The sequence below is a fragment of the Homo sapiens genome, chromosome 5 (genome assembly GCF_000001405.40).
Source record: "Homo sapiens chromosome 5, GRCh38.p14 Primary Assembly".
NCBI classification, from domain to species: Eukaryota; Metazoa; Chordata; class Mammalia; order Primates; family Hominidae; genus Homo; species Homo sapiens.
The window spans coordinates 96,664,411-96,684,475 of record NC_000005.10 but is presented as its reverse complement, the minus strand read 5'-3'; the positions used below and the strand labels follow the sequence as shown (position 1 = coordinate 96,684,475).

The window sequence follows — 20,065 nt, the reverse complement described above, 5'->3', positions numbered from 1 at the left end:
GTTAATAAACTATCAAACTTCCCTCATTTTTTAATGGGAAGGTGCTGCAATATATAATCAACCAAAGAATTTGAGCCCTGCCCCATCCCATAGGTAGACATCAATACGAGACTCACCTTTATTGCCAAACAAGTTCTCTTTACTGAGCTAATAATAATAAAGTAACACCAATAATAATAATAACAATAACAGGAGGTAAGATTTATAGAGCACCTCATATGTCCCAGGCACTGTTCTAGACACTACATATGGATGGTCTGATTGTTCTTCACATTGACTCTTATGTAAGAACTATTAGTATCCTCATTTTACAGATAAGGAATGTGCCCTTAGTGAGGCAAAGTAACTTGCCTAAAGACACAGAGCTAGGAATTAGCAGAGCTGGGAATTAAATCCAGGCATTGGACCCTAAACCCTACACTCAGAATGTATCATATGCTGCTTCTATAGAAACCACAGATCAATAGCAGGTTAACTGAGTTGTGAGTGTGGCTCTTCAAAGCTTTCACAACAGATGAGAAAGAAGATGCTCTCACTGTGGTCTCAGAATGGCACAGAGTTTTTGTCCTAAATTTTGTAAATTTTCTAAATTTCTCTCAGAATTCAAACTGAATTTGTATCTTAGGATAAATAGATTGCTTTAATGTCTACATAATGCCAGGAGTTTTAATTGTAGCTTTGAACTTAAATTCATGCAGTGCTCATGAAAACCTATCTGACACATTCCACATAGGAAAATAATTCTAATATCTATGTAAATAAGTTTTGCTCATAGGAAAACAAGCAGTGACCAACATTATGAAGACTTATAGAGAAAGACAAATGTACCGGGACCACACAGAGAAATACCACAAAAGAGGTGATGCAAATGCCCTGTGATGATTAATCATGTCCTGCTAGTAATCCTCCTGCCCCTCTGTTAAAACTCATGAGGGGCTGAATGATACACAGAACAGAGTTTAAAGTGGAAAGCCATTTCATAGGTTTCACTCCAAGCAAACTAGAATAGAGGAGCTTGATTCAAGAAGCTGAACACTGTCATTATGAGCCAATTTCAAGAATTCCTGGTATAAAATATTGTCTCTAGAAGTTTCTATTTTTTCATTTTCTCATAGAAGAGAGCAGAACTTAACCAAACACTAAAGGAAGCCTACCAAATGCCAAAAATCTAGGCAGAATCTCCATCCTAATCGAAGCCAATGGAACTATATTGAAAAGCACAATTGGTGAACCACTTGTGTCATGCATCTGAAACAGAGCAAGCTTATGTCCCTGAAAGACCCCCTCTTTCCTGAATGCTCATACTCCACACAGAAATGTAGCCATCTAGAAAACCTAGCAGTCAAACCTCTTTGGTAGGAGTCCTCTTCATGAGGCAACCTATCTTTATTCCCCATTAGTGCCTCTCTTTCTAACCCAAGTCAAAGATTCCAAATCCAAATCCTGGAAACCAACTAAGCAGAAATCTGGTGCGTTCAGTGGAGTGGGCAGGGTGTGGGAGGATGGGTTGTGCGCAGGGTGTGGCAGTAGCATGCTGCACCTGGGGGAGTAGTTGTCCTAAGTACAAAGTGGCCTTCTTGGGGGTGGAGGTAAAAAAAGCCGCATTAGCAATCCTTGCTAAAAAATGGAGTTATTCCCTGCATCTCATTTCATACAGTGGATGTTCTGTAATGAATGAAAGTCCACTAGGTAGTGGGGATTTTACCAGCATTGTGCATATTCACCTGCCAAACAGCTGTAGGTCTGAGGAGATTTAGTTAGCAGGGACATAGATGAAGAGCAGGGCTAAGGACAATGTGCTCATCACAGCTGACAAGCTCTAGGAGTAGGCCAAGCTCTCCTTAAAAGAGTAATCAGAAAGAAATTTTGCCTCTCAAAACCACCACAGAGAAAGGCAGAGGGCATCATTACCCCGAAGACTGAAAAAGACAGATCTCATAAAATGATACAGAATAAGAAGAAAATTCAGACAAAAGTGTACATCCTTGATAGGAAACAAGATGGTATTACCTTCATGAAATGGAGTAAAGAGCTATAGATTGAGATGGAATGATAATGGAGTGAGACAAAGAGGTAAGAGAGGATAAGAAGGGGACACAAAGAAACCAAAAACGAAAACCAAAATTTAAACCTGTATTAGAAGTTTCAAAGAGCAGAATTTAGAAATAAAATATGTGGGGGGCAAACTTCAGAAACTCTCCTAGAGTGCAAGGGTAAATGTCAGCAAAAGAAAATTGTGAGGCAGATGATTAGTGAATGTCTAATGTCAGAATTACAGTAGTCTCTCTTATCTGCAGTGGATATATTCTAAGATTCCCCAGTGGGTGCCTGAAACTGCAAATAGTACTGAGCCCTGTATTCACTATGGTTTTTCCTATACATACATACCTATAATAAAGTTTAATTTCTAAAATAGGCACAGTAAGAGATTAACAACAATAACTAATAATAAAATATAACAATTATAGCAATATACTGTAATACAAGTTATGTGGATGGGGTCTCTCTCTCTCAAAATATCTCATTGTATTGTACCGTGGGTAACTGAAATCATGAAAAGCGAAACAGCTGATAAAGAGGAACTATTGCATATGTAGGTTTAGGAAGAAACAAGGGAAACCGAAACAAGAGTAATAATTAAAGAAATAATGAAATAACAGACATTCCAAGACAAATTAATAAAGAAAAACACATATTAATATATAAGTACATCCTGGTAGTATTTTTTTTTTTTTTTTTTTTTGAGACGGAGTCTCGCTCTGTCGCCCAGGCTGGAGTGCAGTGGCGGGATCTCGGCTCACTGCAAGCTCCGCCTCCCGGGTTCACGCCATTCTCCTGCCTCAGCCTCCCAAGTAGCTGGGACTACAGGCGCCCGCCACTACGCCCGGCTAATTTTTTGTATTTTTAGTAGAGACGGGGTTTCACCGTTTTAGCCGGGATGGTCTCGATCTCCTGACCTCGTGATCCGCCCGCCTCGGCCTCCCAAAGTGCTGGGATTACAGGCGTGAGCCACCGCGCCCGGCCCATCCTGGTAGTATTTTTAAATTGTAAGAACAAAAGAAAAAAATCTTGCACCAAGGCAAGAAAAATAGGCTTCCTAAAAAGTAAGTCAAAAGTAGGCTGCCTCAGACATCTCTGAAGCACAAAAAGCCAGAAAACCACGAAGCAATAGATACAGAATTTTGAGGAACAAAACTGTGACCCAAGGATGTTGTACAATTTTGTATTGATGGACTTTCTTGTGAGTCACCAACGAGAAAACATGCTTACATTCACACACTCAGAAAATCATCATTGTGCTCCCTCCCTGAAAAAAATATCTTAGAAAATACTCTGGTCAATGAAACAATAAATGAAAATTTCAAATGAAAAAATGGGGAAACCACAGTTGAAAAGAATCTTGTAACTTCCCAGAGTCACTTTAGCCTCCCAAGTCAGACTCAGCTCCCAAGTCGCACCCAGTGCGAGCCTGTGCTGGCCTCTTGGGGCTAGATATCCCGGTGAGCCAGGCATGACTGCCTCGGTGCAGCTTTTCGGCTTAGCTTTTCTTGGCACTGAGACATGAGCTTGTGCAGCCACAATCGACTCCCCACAACTAGTATGAACTCTCTTGTCATGACATAAAAGAATGTTAAAATGTTTGCTGCAGTACTCTTCTAGAACTTGCTAATGACAGCTAAATCACTTGTGGGAACACTGTCACAAATTACTTCTTGAATAAGAAGTAAATTTCTCCTCCCTTCAAAAACAGAGCACAAAATAATGAACATTAAATGCCATACTGAATGCCAAGGTGCTTGAATAATGGTTTTCTATATACTTAAATGCCACACACACTGATGGGTCTTTTTTTAATTGGAAAAGATTTATCTATCACAAAGCACATTATTTATCATTTTCAGACTAGGCCCTATAATGGTGTTCCTTTGCTATTTCTGCTTAAAAATCAAGATATGCAGCATTTCAGTAAACAAAATAAGCAAACAAAGAAAAAAGATGCAGGAAAATACACCAAGATGTACATAGTGCCCATTTCTCTAGGTGCTAGAATCCTAGATGAGGGTGTTTATTTTCCATTTTTCTTTTCTTCTTCTTCTTTTTTTTTTTTTTTTTTTTTTTTTGAGACAGAGTCTCGTTCTGTTGCCCAGGCTGGAGTGCAGTGGTGTGATCTTGGCTCCCTGCAACCTCCGCCTCCCAGGTTCAAGCAATTCTCCTGCCTCAGCCTCCCGAATAGCTGGGACTATAGGCGCCCACACCCACGACCACGCCTGGCCAATTTTTGTATTTTTAGTAGAGTTGGGGTTTCACCATATCGGCCAGGCTGGTCTTGAACTCCTGACCTTGTGATCCGCCCACCTCAGCCTCCCAAAGTGCTGGAATTATAGGCATGAGCCACCACGCCTGGCCAAGGGTGTTTATTTTCATTAAATTCTCTGGTACTTTCTAATTTTTTTCCAATAATTATATTTTAGCTACACAATCATTAAAAAGTACTAAAATTGGCATATATAATAATTATAAATACATGACATTATCGCGTTAATTTAAGTATATACACACAAGTTTAGAGCAGTAGTTTAAGCGGTAAGACTCAGGGTAATATTGTTTTTCACAAGTATGTATTACTTTTGTGATTAAAAAAGTCTAACTTTATTAAAAGAAAAAAGTAAAAAAAAAATGTTTGAGTCATTCAACATTGAATTCATGCATTCTAAAAGGAGGAGAGGTAAACACTGAGGAAAAGCATGCCACCAATGCCATTAGAGTAAGGAAAATGTAAAAAAACATCTTTTCCTTTAAGGCAGAATTTCCGTTCGCTTTTATTTGTGTTTTCTTTACTCATAAAAATAAATCCATTGTTAAATTTGAAGCTTTTAAAATTGGCTCTCTGAGATCATGCCCGTTTTATACTTTAAATTCCATTCCCCAGGACTTTACTGAAATATGTTGCTAAAAGATTCACACTCTCTCAGTGTGGCCGGATGTGTCAGTTTCATCCTTTAAATAGATTTGATTGCAGGTTTGGAAAGACTTATTTGTTCTACTGCATTTAAAGTTGCTGATGTTAAGTGTTTTCATTTTTCTTTTTCCTCCTCTCTAGTTATTTTATCTTTGGCTTGTTAGTCCATGCAACTTTTGGTCCTGTAATTCCTCTACATCTGAGAAAGAATTGAAAAATTCATAACAATTGGTATAAACAAGCAAACATAAATAAATTCTCTCAGACACTTACCTTACCCTATCCTCAAGTATTTGTATTTCAAACGCAGCATGACAAATGTATTAGCTTCAACATTCTATTACAATTGCTATAGGTAGCTGGGCGTGGTGGCTCACACTTATAATCCTGGCACTTTGGGAGGTGGGAAGATTACTTGAGCGGGGGAGGTCAAAGCTGCGGTGAGCCATGATCACACTACTGCACTCCAGCCTGGGTGACAGAGTAAGACCTCATCTCAAAAAATAAAAATAAAATTGCTGCAGGTATCTTAGGATTACTTAATGGTTGTGTGTTGGGGTAATATTCCAAAAAAGTAAAAACTATTGACAAATAGCAAGGGAGAAAGAACTCTGAAATTCACATGGCTACATTCATCTCCATGTGTGTTTTTGTTTGTTTGTTTGTTTTGAGACAGAATCTTGCTCTGTCACCCAGGCTGGAGTGCAGTGGCGTGATCTCGGCTCACTGCAACCTCTGCCTCCCGGGTTCAAGTGATTCTCCTGCCTCAGCTGCCTGAGTAGGTGGGACTACGGGTGCGCGCCACCTTGCCAGACTAATTTTTTCTGGTATTTTTAGTAGAGATGGAGTTTCACCATTTTAGCCAGGATGGTGTCGATCTCCTGACCTTGTGATCTGCCCGCCTCAGCATCCCAAAGTGCTGGGATTACAGGCATGAGCCACCGCACCCGGCCCTCCATGTATTTTTATATATGGCAATATAACGGTGGTTCTCACCTAACCCTCATCAATTTTTTCTTCTGGTTATACCCTCCCAAAGTCCTCCTCTGTGCCCTTTTCTGGCATCTCTAATAGAAATGTAGCAGAATAATAAAAAGAGAAGAAAAACTGTGAAGAAGATAGAAAGCAAATTTTCAAACTGATTTTGTTTCAAAGACCCTGGTTTGTCCTCAGAGGGCTAACCAGTATATTTGCATATGCTTGGGGACAGTAAGTTATTTAACATTGGAGGGTACATGCCAGTTTGAAAATGGATTACTAAAAACCAAACTAAGCTTCTTAGTCTCACGTTTTGTTCAACAGAGCAGTAGGTAAGAAAATATTTGGGAGAAATAATCAGTTTCAGGAAGTCTTTCTCTGGTAATTTTGAGAAGAAAAGGAGATGGCAACAAACTATGGATGGTAGGCAGGGCAGATAACAAATTCAGATTGCTCATGGTTTTATAATCATGAACATCAAGGCTAACATAATGCCTAAAGTGGGACAGTTTCCTTGAACTGTCTCCAGGACACAATATCTCATTAATGACTTATTTGCACATAACATAAAGAATGAGGCCCTTTGAGACAGACCATTTTGGAAATATACCCTGACTACCAAGTCACCCACCCCCATGCTTGGCCACCTTAACAAATACATACAGGCAGAATTTAAGGAGAGAGAAGAGCTCTAGAAACCTCTTCCAGTTTTGAATGCTGCCCAATTCACAAATCATTCTTTGCCCAAACAAATTCTGTTATGTTTATTTTGTCTAAAGCCATGATTTAAGCCATGGGGACAGAGCAAAGTCTCTATCCCCTCTTTACTTCTGCTGGTTGGGACAGAAGCTGAAAGACTGGTATGTCCAGGCTCTGGCACAAGGGCAGGGGTCATGAATGTGAATTTACCAGAAACGTAATAAAACAATGTCAGAATTGCTATGCCAATAAAGAAAAGAAAAATTCGCTGTTCCTTCTTTAAACCAGAAGTTCAGCCTTTCAATTTTTTAAATCAAAGTCTGCCTCTTATAACATGGCTTCTTAACAGTGTTTTCCTTTCTAAACCTTTTATAAATATGGAGATGAGAGACATTATAATCCAGACATTATATACTTAACTATCTACCGTCAGTTGTTACATACCAATAATGCCTGTACATCCTGTACATCCAAGGTGTAATATTTAAGTTTCCCAGTTATAATTGGCCAGAATGACCATATTAGTATTGGCTTTGCATCCACTTGACCATATTGGAAAAGAAAACTTCCTTTTTAGGCAAATAACCTTAATTAACATTAATAGAGAATAACAACCAAAAACATTGTTTACTGGTCTGGAGAATAAAAGAACACAATGGTTTTCAATCAGGAAGTGTTCAATATTTGCTCAATATTAATTTGATAAATAACTTATCTGGAAATATATTTAAAGGGTAGGGTTGATAAATGAGTTAAATGACACTAGGTGGATTTTCTTTTCTTTTCTTTTCTTTTTTTTTTTTTGTCACCCAGCTGGAGTGCAGTGGCGTGATCTCGGCTCACTGCAACCTCTGCCTCCCAGGTTCACGCGATTCTCCTGCCTCAGCTTCCAGAGTAGCTGGGATTACAGGTGCACACCACCACGCCCAGATAATTTTTCATATTTTTAGCAGAGAAGGGGTTTCACTATGTTGGCCAGACTGGTCTTGAACTCCTGACCTCGTGATCCACCCACCTCGGCCTCCCAAAGTGCTGGGATTACAGGCATGAGCCACCGTGCCTGGCTGACACTAGGTAGACTTTCATGTTGGGAAAAAGAAAAATTTGTGGTTTTTTTTTTTAATGGAAATTTATCTTTTATTAATTTAATCAGGAAACAGGATGAAATCTTAATATGTTTACTTCTACTTTGTATTTTTAAAGAAACATTTGCCTTTCATGGCTATAAAAAATTCACTAAAAACTTGCTTGGTAAGAAACAATCTAAATTATTTTCATGGGTACTGGTGATGAAAACAATGGTAGAAAATGGAGGCATAAACTTTAGTACAGAATGCATAGCAGGTTCTAGCCGTAACAGCCTCCTTACATATTGACTATTTTGAAACTGCAGAAAATAAGCAGAAAGAAGAACTAAATTTCAGAAAAACACCTGATTAATGTTGATAATATAGAGAAAAATAAAATGATCACTTGATGCTTTCCAAATTTCCATGTACCTTTTAAAATCTGGCTATATGATGTTTACAAGTTAGAAATGACTCAATTTCTACTGGATGAAGATGGATGTATCATCCAGTTATATTGAGATTTAACACACAAAAAGCAGGTAAAGGAAGGCAAATCCTGTATCCTTTGGAAGGGCAGAACTTTCACATGACCCTTCCATAGAGAAGTAGGTCATTCTAAACAGTGCAAAGAATGGTATGTCATTCAGTAAAAGAAGAAACAGCCTCAAAGAAAACCCATCTCAAAGTGGGGAGATTTGGTTTTACTAGTTTTCCACAGAATCTGTGCCAATAAAAATAGTTATCTCTTCCTTTTGTTTATGAATCTGAAGGACTGGTTAATCTGGCTGTCCCTGTCCTCCTTTCATGGTTTATTGTCATAAAAAAAGATTTTCCTTTTTACTACAGCAACTGTTTTCCCTTCTACACTTGACATATTCGCCAACAAAACAATTTGGATTCACCAGTTCCTATAGGGAAAACACCCTAAGCAACAAAGTTCTATTACTAAAGGGAAAGTATTCATACAGGCTCTATTCCCAGGAACAATTTTTTTTATTTATTTTTAGTGATTTCCTTTTATATTCTTGAACCAAATCTTGGTTAAATCAAAATTTCCCAATATTAAGCAAGGTAGAAGCTCTTTGCTACATCGTTATTTAATATTTCAAGGCAAACTTCACAGTTTAAAAGCAAGAGAAAATGAAAGCCCAGTATTGTGGAAATTACCTCATCTGATCCTTTCTTTTCTCCTGGTTTGGAAGGCGATTCACTGGTTTTTTCACTGACATGCTATAAAAAAGTAAAAAATAATGCTTAATAAAGGAAGATGACACAGATGACAGTAACTTTAATCCCCAAAGGCTAAATGCATACCCTTTTTTAAAAAACGACCACTTTAATCTTCCTCCTGAGAATGCTGGTAATTCACACCAACATAGGTGGCTCTCAAAAATCAAGGGATGCTACACACATTCATTTGGAATCTAGAAGGTCAGTCTGTAATTAACTAGATGCAGAGCTGATGGTGATGCCAAGGCGGCATCTTGTCTCCTGCAAAATGCCTCACGAATTTTAAGCTCAAGTTTTCAGCACGGTAGACATCTCATTCATCAAGGAGATGAGATAAGAACCATGTTTCATCTGAAGCCATACTTAAGGCTCAGTTCAGCATGGACTCAATTGTCCTCCAAGGGAATTCCCTAGAGTTCTTCCGCGTATCCACCAATGCAGAAAGATAAAACCTGAAGGACAAAGACCATACCTGCAACTTCTTCTATGTGTTATGGCCTTAAGATTTCATTATGTCTATAAAGAGAATTATTTTTCTTACTAGGACACCGAGGATAAATACAATTTTTAAAAGTGTTATTTTATTTTTAATTAACACATAACAATCATACATCTTTATGGGGTACAAGGTGATGTTTTGAATATACATTGGGTAATGATCAAATCAGGTTAATTACTAAATCTGTCGCCTCAAACATTCATCATTTCTTGTGGTGAGGACATTCAAAATCCTGTTTTCTAGTTATTTTGAAGTATATAATACATTACTGTTAACTGTAGTCACCCTACTGTGCAATAGAACAACAGATCTTATTCCTCATAACTGTCTTTATACCCAGTGATCAAACTGTCCCTAATGCAAATATTTTTACGTGGGGTATAAAAGCTTCAAGTAGCTTACATATTCATTTGTTTTGGCGATAAGATAAAATAAGCCATAACTTTACTGAAATGTTTTGAGAAATGAAAAAATAGTTGTATGTTCCTGAATAGGGGGCACAAAGAATTATTCCATTTCTGTCACACTGTGGATGTTCAAAAAAGTGGGAAAAGGGAGCCAAATATGAAAAAATAAAAGCTCATCATTGGATTCAGTCCTAATCATCCTCAATTGAATCAAAATATAAAATGCTATTATGTTCCCTAAAGCAGAATCATAACCTAGATATATAGGTCAGTGAAATTATCTGAATTAAGAAGAATGATAATAATAATAGTAATAATAATAATTTATGTTATTATTATATACAAGGCACTTCCATACAGTCTTGATACAAAAAAGAAGCTCATGTTGTTTTATAAATGAGAAAACTAAGAATAATAGTGATTTGATGGTGTTTACAAGGAAACATAACTAGTAAATGGGAAAAGGTCACAAAGCAGACTAAAATCTGTTGTTTGCCACTAGAACACACTAAATGGAATTAGATAATATTTTCTTTAATCATATCAACAGATATGCTACTAAAAATGGCCAAGGAATACCAAACCTGTGGCTGAAATCCTTTCTCGATAGTGTTTTGTATGAACAACTAGCCAAAAGGCATGTTCGTGACTCTACAATTCTTACCCAGAAGAAACACTCTCATGGATTAGTGATTGGCATCCACTGAAAAGCAGCCAGGGTGCAATAGCTTGGTGAAACCCTCTACAGGTCTTCTTTTACCTATACATCCTAGTCAAGGGTTTGTTTGTACATAGTTGAGGGCAATCTATTGAATAATTAAATGAATCTTTTAAAAATGAACCATTTTAAAGTCCACTTATATATCAAGGCTATATGGCAATTGATAAATATTAGAATAATTGATGAGCAAAAGATTTCTAAAAGCCAGACTTGAGGGGAAAATATTACTTATCTCTGTTAAAGTAAATAAGGGGGCCATTAGCATGAGGTGGTCTCTGTCCTCGGATACCTTACTAAGCACACTGAAATTTAACTTGAAGGCATTTCTTGTAAATGACTTAAAACAAAACAAAAATTGCCTCAGCCAATCATAACCAGCCAACCAGCTTATTGGTTATATAACTACAAACCTCTCATCAGACCATACCTAAATAAGGCAAATGCCTAGTTGTAGCCAATCAAGTAATTTCTTCACTTTGCTTCCACATTCAGCTATAAAAGCTTGCTGCTCATGCTGCTGGAGTGTACTGAGCTCTCTGAACCACTTTTGATTTTCAGTACTGCCCAATTCATAAATCATCCTTTGCTCAAATAAGCTCTGTTAAATTTGTCTAAAATTTTTCTTTAAACATCTCTAAAAAAATCATTCTAGAAAGACAGAGATGACCAAATCTGTCTCCTTCCAGAACTGGTAATTTTAGAACCATGATATCACATCCATAATCTGTAATTCATATTTTTTCAGATTACATAAGTAATAATAATAGCCACTGTTTTATTGGGTGTTTACTATTTTGAGTGCCTCATTTACTTGTCAGGAGGTGTAATTATTCCATTTCACAAAAGAGAAACTTTAAAAGGTGACTTGTTCTTGTCTGGTACAAGGTTCCATGCTCTCCACAGAGTCTCACTCTGCTTTCTGCTCATGTGGCAAATACATATCATAATTTATTACCCCACAGTAAATGCATGTACAGCCTTTTCTCCCTTAAAATAACAACTTAAAATAACAACTTTAAAATTATGTACTATAAGCATTGTTATTTTCTGACTTCAAAAGAAAAAGTTGCTCACAATAGAAAGCCATTTTAAAATACACAAAAGTATAATGACATAAATAAAAATCACTTATAATAAAAGGCCAACTTTTTTAGAACTTCATGAATTACATTTTTCCAGTTCTTTTTTTTTTTTTTTTTTTTTTTGAGACTGAGTCTCACTCTGTCACCCAGGCTGGAGAGCAGTGGTGCGATCTTGGCCCACTGCAACCTCCACCTCCTGAGCTCAAGCTATTCTTGTGCCTCAGCCTCCCAAGTAGCTGGGATTACAGGTGTGCACCACCACATCCGATTAATTTTTGTACTTTTAGTAGAGATGGGGTTTTGACATGTTGATCAGGCTGGTCTTGAACTCCTGACATCAGTTGATCCACCCTCAGCCTCCCAAAGCGTTGGGATTACAGGCGTGAGCCACCGCTCCCGGCCCAGTTCCTATTTTAAGCCCAGCTTTTTATTATGAAAAATTTCCAACGGACAGAAAAGTTGAAAGAATAATACAATGAATGCCCATATTCCCCCCGCTCAGATTTCAACAACTATTAACATTGTTGCCATATTTTGCCCTATTTGCATACACACACACAGGCATACATACAGACACAGAAAGAGAGAGAGAGAGAGAGACAGAGAGAGAGAACAAGAGGGCACTACATGTCTTTATATACCTGTAATGGAAAGTAAATCACAGACATCCTGAAATTTTAACCCTAAACTTTTCACCATGCATCTCCTTAAATTTGAGAACATTTTCCCAAATGGTATTGCTATATACCCAATACTATTATCACCCTAAGACAATTAACAGGTATTTCCAGTAAATAACAACTTTATCAATTAACCATTGCCCTGATCATTTATTGAAAATTATTCAATATTCAGCAGTCTGTTAATGATGTAAAGTCAATTGTATCTTTTCACTGAGAGAGATTCATGAAATAATTGAGTACTTTTCACATAACTGAGAGGATGGAATGAAATACTTGGGAATGACATATGTCAAATTCGATCCAGCTCAGGAATCTGCAGGCGTCTTTCTAAAGAGCGAAGAGAGAAAACTCTGCTGACCACTACTACGTGTAACTGCTGGGTTGAGGAGAGTGAGATGAGCAGGGAACAGGGAAGGATTGACAGCTGGGGAAAGAGAACTGAACCACAAAACTAATTACAGAAAAGAAATTAACACCTCCTAAGCATCTGCTCTGTGCTAGGCCCAGTGCCAGGCATCTCCTATGTGGTCTTCTTTGCTACCCATAGCAGCTCTAGGGAGTACCCACTGTCGCCTTGGTTCATGAATAAAGCAACTGAAGATCTGAACAGCGATGTTCTCCATGGTGATACCACTCAGGATTACATGGGCCAAAGACTAGGCTACTTTGGATCTAGTTAAAAGCTAACTAGGATCTTAGGATTTTCATCAAGAAAGTCTTTAGAGCATGCGGGTGATCTGAAATGAGAACAAAACAAAAGGCACGAAAAATAACAAAACATGAAAACTTCCTATTCTAAAACTTGTTTTATAAATGAACTGAACACACAATACTGTCCTGTATTGGCAGCTAGAGAGGAGGCCAAAGACAGGAAGAGCAGGACAGGATGCCATAGTAAAGAATTTCACTGGAAGGACAAGGCCATAGAAGACAGGAGACTAGATGGGGGCTAAGATGAAGGTGGTATGTGCTCCAGAAGCTCAGAGCCAGAGAAAAAAATCAGATCAAGGGCTTTGCTATCTTAACTCAAGAAGGAATAATTTTCCAAACTGTTTTCACCCCCTTTATCACATAGTTGGCAACTACAACTGTCGTTTGTCCTCATTCTAGGTGACAGCCTCTATACGTTTAAAATCTGCCATAGCAAACCCATAAATCTGAAAAAAATCAATAAGAGCTAAGTGCAATAAGGCTCAGAGCCTGAGCTCTCACCCAGCTAAGGGCTTCTGCCAGGGCAAGGTTCAACTCTGCCACATTTGGGCACCTGCCCTGTTGTTACCCAGATACACACAGATACATAGACAGCCAAGGGAACATGTCACACAAAACAAGATAAAAATCAAAGAAACTAGGCCGGGCACAGTGGCTCACGCCTGTAATCCCAACACTTTGGGAGGCCGAGGTGGGCAGATCAGGAGATCAGGAGTTCGAGACCAGCCTGGCCAATATGGTAAAACCCTGTCTCTACTAAAAATACAAAAATTAGCTGGGCATGGTGGTGCACACCTGTAGTCCCAGCTACTCCGGAGGCTGAGGCAGGAGAATTACTTGAACCCAGGAGGTGGAGGTTGCAGCGAGCTGAGATCGTGCCATTGCACTCCAGCCTGAGTAACGAGCAAAACTCCATCACAAAAAAAAGAAAAAAAAATCAAAGAAACTTCTTCACATATAAAAGAAGCAAGAAGACAGAAAAGCAGCCCTTGCCAGCATTAAGTCCAGCTGTGAAAAGAGTATGAAATGCTAGTGTGCTTCTGAAATGCCTTTGCTTTATTATTATTATTTTTTAAAGTATGAGGCTTCTTTTAGGAGGAAAGGAAAACATTCTAAAGTAAAATTGTGCTGATGGTTGTGACCACCCTGTGACTATACTAAAACATATTGTATCATATGTCTTGGTGGGTGATTTATTTGAAAACTTAAACATTTTCCTTCTTCAATGTGGCGACAATTTCATCGAGATAGTATTTGCATGTCCAGGGACAGCTGTGGAAAAATCATGGAGCAATAAAAGGTTATCTTGATACCCTCTGGACTCTCCGAGCTCATGGAACTCAGCTCTCTACCATCACACACACTGAGAAAGGCTTCTACCAGGGGCTCCTGAGGATCACAAAGACTTCAGGTTAGCAGTGGGTCCCATCCTTCAGTGCCTGTCACAAGCACCTGGGAAGCTTTTAGAAACATTTGTGTCAGGGCACAGGGATTTAGATTTAGTTTGAATAGAATGGGGCCTTGCCATGGATAAATTTTTCTAAAGTTCCCCAGATGATTCCAATATACAGCCAGGATTGAGAACCACTGGTTTTGGGGGAAGATTTATGGGCACCATGATAGGAAGCGGAAGTTTCCGCTCCTCAAACCATCCCACTGAGTCGGCACCCATGGGGAGGTTCCCAGGGTCAGGCAGACTGGGGTGGCTCTGGGCTCCTCCTGGGTAAACTCTGATTGGTCAGTGAAGCAGCACAGTGCCCTATGTCTACACCAGTGTTTCCTGTCAAATTCTGAGCTTTGCCCTATTAATGGAGTATCATATTTTCATATTTGCACATTAATCTCTATTTTCTCAGTAAATCAAACAAATTAGCACTTTATTGTACACTCTCTTGCTTACTGATTACTTTATAAACTTACATCTTGCCTTCCTAATCACAGGGTAAGTTATATCCTTTTTTTCCTAGATGTGTGGTAGGACCATAACAAAGAATTCTTGATTGAATGACCATGTTCCCACAAACCTATAAACATTCCCTGAGAAGTAATTTTGCTCTTTTCAGATCAGTAAACTAGACAAAAGAGAAAGAGGCCAAGAAGGTAGCTTGAAAAATTAAGAGACAATGTGCAAATTGGTATTTCCCACAAAAATGCCTTAAAATATATTTGTATATGTATTCTACTTGCTAAAGCAAAATTATTCAGCAAACAAGCAGATGGACCAAAGCTTCTGTAAAGCTGGTTTTGCTTCAGAACAGTCTCCCTGGGTGCAGATCCTAGAACTGTCTGCCTTCAGGTGGATTCCTTGTTCCACTTCTGCTGTGTTCAAATTGTAGTGGAACTTTGCTGGCTGCAATTCTCTTGATGGATGGCCTCAAGTTGGGTTTAGCCAACAGCAGGCGCTGCCAGGAGACTAGAGGTGGTGGGTGGGTGGTATTCCCTTTGCCCCACCCCCTCCTCCAGTAGCACCTCCTGCAGGATGGGTTGGCTGTGGTTCCAGCTTCTGCAAGGTGACCCTTGTCCTCCCTGTGTCCCTCTAGACTAGGGATGGTAGCAGCTTCCTGCAATTTCTAATCTCTGGGTTGCCTCACCCTCCCCTGACGGCTTCCCAGCCTTTTTTTTTTTTACCTGGGTAACCAATTCCCTATGTTACACTCCCTTTGTTTTAAATACTCAGAGTCATTTCTGTCTGTTAGTTGACTGCAATAAACTCTGATAGGGCAGAAACAGCCTAGATTTGTAAGGCTATATGACCGTGACCTTGGGCAGATAATTTAATTTTTCAGTTTCTTTTTGTAAAATAGGGCTAATGGTATCTATCCCAGGGGCTGGCAAATTTATGAAAAGAGTTGACATTAGTGAGGCACCTGGTTCATTGCCTTGTTCATTTTAAGAACACAATTAAAATTATTTCACTCCCTTCTTTTTCCCTGGCAATCTGACTGTGGTGAATTAGAAGCCAGTGAGTTAAGGTTTGAGGGTTTCATTTTCTAAGGCTGTAAACATTAGAACAGAAGAATTTAGTATTTTACTTTCCCTAAAGTACAAAGGAACCTTATCAGGTTCATCTGATTAAGTTTTTGTTTAGTACTTTGTCTATCTCATGACTGTGTATTATATATTATTCTCACATCTTCGTATAACACTCAAGGAGATAAACTACATGGGGGTTAAAGAATTCATTTTCCCAACAAACTACAGCAATTTGGTTACAAGGATGACTTATATTTGCAATTCCCATGCTTTAAAACATGTTGAAAGGGTGTGTGTGTGTGTGTGTGTGTGCACGCGTGTCTGTGCTGGTAGCTGTGACGGTTAACAGATAAAACAAGATTAGGACAATGTTGACAATTATTGACACCAATGATTGGTATATGAAGAGGTCATTATACTTATTTATTTATTTATTCATTTATTTATTGAGACGGAGTCTTGCTCTGTCGCCCGGGCTGGAGTGCAGTGGTGCAATCTCGGCTTACTGCAAGCTCCGCCTCGCGGGTTCACGCCATTCTCCTGCCTCAGCCTCCTGAGTAGCTGGAATTACAGGCGCCTGCCACCACGCCCAGCTAATTTTTTTGTATTTTTAGTAGAGATGGGGTTTCACCATCTTGGCCAGGCTGGTCTTGAACTCCTGACCTTGTGATCCATCCGCCTCAGCCTCCCAAAGTGCTGGGATTACAGGCGTGAGCCAACCGCACCCAGCCTCATTATACTCTTCTCTTATTCTGTGTACTAATGCTTAATATATATTAAGGATTAACTGCATAGCTGTAATTCTGAAATCCCTCTGTTTTCACTGAACCCCAAGTGTTCGTTTTTTCTAACATTTTAAGATTTCAGTGGACATGACAAGATGACACTGTAAAGGTACAGGCCCTTTGTGTCCAATTTTCAGAGGTGGCATCTATTGCCTGTCATAGATTAGCTCCTGGGATTCACCTGAAGTAAGGCTGGATGAGTTTTTCTTAAGTCAAAGGGGGTATCATGAGAATTTAAATAGTTGCTTTGTTGCCACAGCAGTTGTCATGAGAATGAACTTGTAGTTTTATCTATGAGAAATGCAAGAGGAGGCCAGGCACAGACCACTGCACGATTTTTTTGTGTCCACCGCACTCTGCACAAAACTGACACACAGCAGGTGGACAATAAACAACTGTGAACATCTTTGAGCTTTACCAAATTTATTCTTATGTTCTATGAGTTTCCTACAACCAAAACAAATTTCATACATTTTTAGGAAACTATAACTTTAGACCTTTTTCTTCCTGAGTTAACTGACTTTTCCATCTGAGGAGATAACTTACATGAACAGTGTTTATTGGATGGAACTGTTCTTGCATTTTTCTTAACTGGAAGACATCTGATATACTTCCCCCTGCCCCCCGCCTTTATGGTGGCTGTAAAGCTTTCTGGGTATGTTTTCATGAAAGGAAAATGAGACAACTCAAAGAACAGAACTTTAGTATCTGTTAATATGATTTTCATCTTAAAAATACCTCAAGGGGGAAAAATGATGTACTACTTAGAGTAGTTTTGTATCTGCTGAGACAATCTAGTCAGAACTAATTACCCACCTATCCACATGGAATCTCACATGACCCCCCACTGTTCCCACCCCCAGAAGGCTATAGCATTCTTTAAAAGGCACCTGTAGAATATAATTAACCTTCTGGGAAGTGCCAAAACTGATTTAAAGAAAGATATTATCAGATGCTACTCTTGGTTTAAAAGGCTTATACACAATGGGGCGCGAACTAATTCAAAGACTGTCAGCTGAAAGAGAAAGGCTGTATTTGACCTCTATGTTTCCATTACCCTAAAGTCTATGCCCTTTTTGCAGGCCCTGTTATTTGCCTTCCTTAGTTCTAAAATTCACTGTGAGCAAGTGATCTGTCCTGCCATGGAAGGCTTGCAACATTCTTCCCAGGCTGGCAGCAATGATGGGGCCTCCCAAATGACTGGGCTCCTTGATCATGCTGTCACTAGGTCTATGGATCTAATTAGGCTAAGAAACACCTTTAATTAACATAGTCTAATAGAATCAACTGATGATTCAGGAATGTGATGACTGGTGTGGGCCAAATTAACCTTCGTTCATGCTTGATCATTACATAGCTCATAGATGTTCTTCAAATTTAGCTCTGCAGAGTTGTGTGGTGTGTGTGTGTGTGTGTGTGTTTACTACAACCACATTTTTCAGAAGATAAAGTCAATAGGATTGATGGCATTCAATGTGGAAATATACATTGCAACGTTTCACTGACTAGCTTTATAGGTGGCATGCTGTTAAACGAACACATCTGAGACATGTCTTTTAATTATTTCATTTTATTCTGCCTAAATTTTGAAAGTTAGATCATTTATAACCTTTTCAGTACTTAAAGGATTCCACAAAGATATTTTAATTATAGGATTTACCTGAAGTATTCTGAGATGTCTGTGTATATACCGATATCTGTGTTTATATCTGTAGATATATATGCATATAAATCTGTCTATATATGTATTATACATGCATGTGTACATACAGACAGACATCTGTATTTATATCTGTAGATACATACACACATAAATCTAGATGTCTACATATGTATTATACATGCATGTGTGTATTATATATAAATATGCACATATATGTATATTGGATTGTATATGTTTGTATGTGTGTATGTATATGTGTGTGTGTGTGTGTATGTGTGTGTGTGTGTGTTATAAACTGGCTCCATGGACCTTTGGGGGATTTATGGGTGGTCTTTTGGAAATCTCTGAACTCCCTGAAGCTATATTGGAAACTGCATTTTGTGTATGTTTGTATGTATTTTGTTGTGGGAAAGCAGTCCATAAATCCCATTTGATTCTCAAAATTGTCTGTGACCACCCACCTATCACCAAAGGAAAAAAAGAAAGTTTAGGAGTCCATGGTCTAGCGCTATACTGTCCATTACTATAGCCCCTAGCTGCTTGTGGCTACTGAACACTCTTGAAATGTGGCAAGTGTGAATTGAGATGTGCTGTTAATGTAAATATACATTGGATTTTGAAGAATTAGTATAAAAAAGAATGTAAAATATCTCAATGGCTTATACACTGATTACATGATGAAATAATAATATGTGGGATATAGTAGGTTAAGTAAAATATATCAATTAGCACAAATTTCACCTGCTTTTTGTTGTGATGTTGTTGTTAAAGTGGCTCCTTGGAAATCTGAAATTGCAGACGTGGCTCACATTATGTTTCTATTGAATAGCACTGGTTTGGGCAAAGCTAAAGCTTGATCACAGGCATGTAGCTGGTTCTAGGAAGTTCCTACTAGCAAAAAGTTTTCATGGTAGTACCAAAATGGGATTCTAAGAGAGGTTTTAGCAAAAACATCAGACTGTGACTAAACAAAACAGGGTTAAAAGCATAGATTCAAACTACTTTCATCCAAGTAACCCAGCAGAGTTTCCTTGAGAGAATCATGAGTCTGGAAGGAGAATTTTGATGTCAACTCTGAACTACTGCTATCCATATTTGCAGATAAGGTACATGGTACATTTTGATAAGAACCTTAGGCCAATAATGACTCAAAGCAAATTGATGTGGTTTGTTCTTACCACATCAATCAAATGCTACATGTAAAAGCCCAGGAAATGTACTGGAAAACATTCATGAAGAAGTATCTCAAGGGAAATTGGAATTCCAAATTCTTAAAAGTATATGTGTATGACATTTTGACTTTTAAATCTAATTAGTCCTCACCAATACTTATGTAGTGCATATAATTTCTATTTTACACATGTGAAAACAGGTTGAAAAGGTTGACTTATTTCCATTTGAGAAAAACTCTTTGTTCTCCACAGTGTACATGGAGGCTTTAAAAAGCACCTGTAGGCCCAGTGCAGTGGCTCATGCCTGTAATCCAACATTTTGGGAGGCTGAGGTGGGAGGATTGCTTGAGACCAGGAGTTTTAGACTAGCCTGGGCAACATAGTGAGAGAGACCCTGTACAGTATATTGTATGTGTGTGTGTGTGTGCATAT

At 38.5% G+C, this 20,065-nt stretch overlaps 1 protein-coding gene across 21 annotated transcripts in view; it reads right to left on the bottom strand.

The window, feature by feature from the left end:
* CAST (calpastatin) overlaps positions 1-20,065 on the bottom strand; it is an 813,255-nt gene that overhangs the window by 90,208 nt on the left and 702,982 nt on the right. For 20 of the 21 annotated variants that reach the window (NM_001423254.1, NM_001423259.1, NM_001423253.1 and 17 more), the window contains one exon: positions 8,875-8,937. The exons of the other annotated variant lie outside the window; for it this stretch is intronic. Coding sequence is in view for 9 of the 20 variants with exons in the window: in NM_001750.7 (NP_001741.4) it covers positions 8,875-8,937 (63 nt within the window). In the remaining 11 variants the exon portion in view is untranslated. The remainder of the gene's footprint in view (positions 1-8,874; positions 8,938-20,065) is intronic. 21 annotated transcript variants of the gene reach the window in all.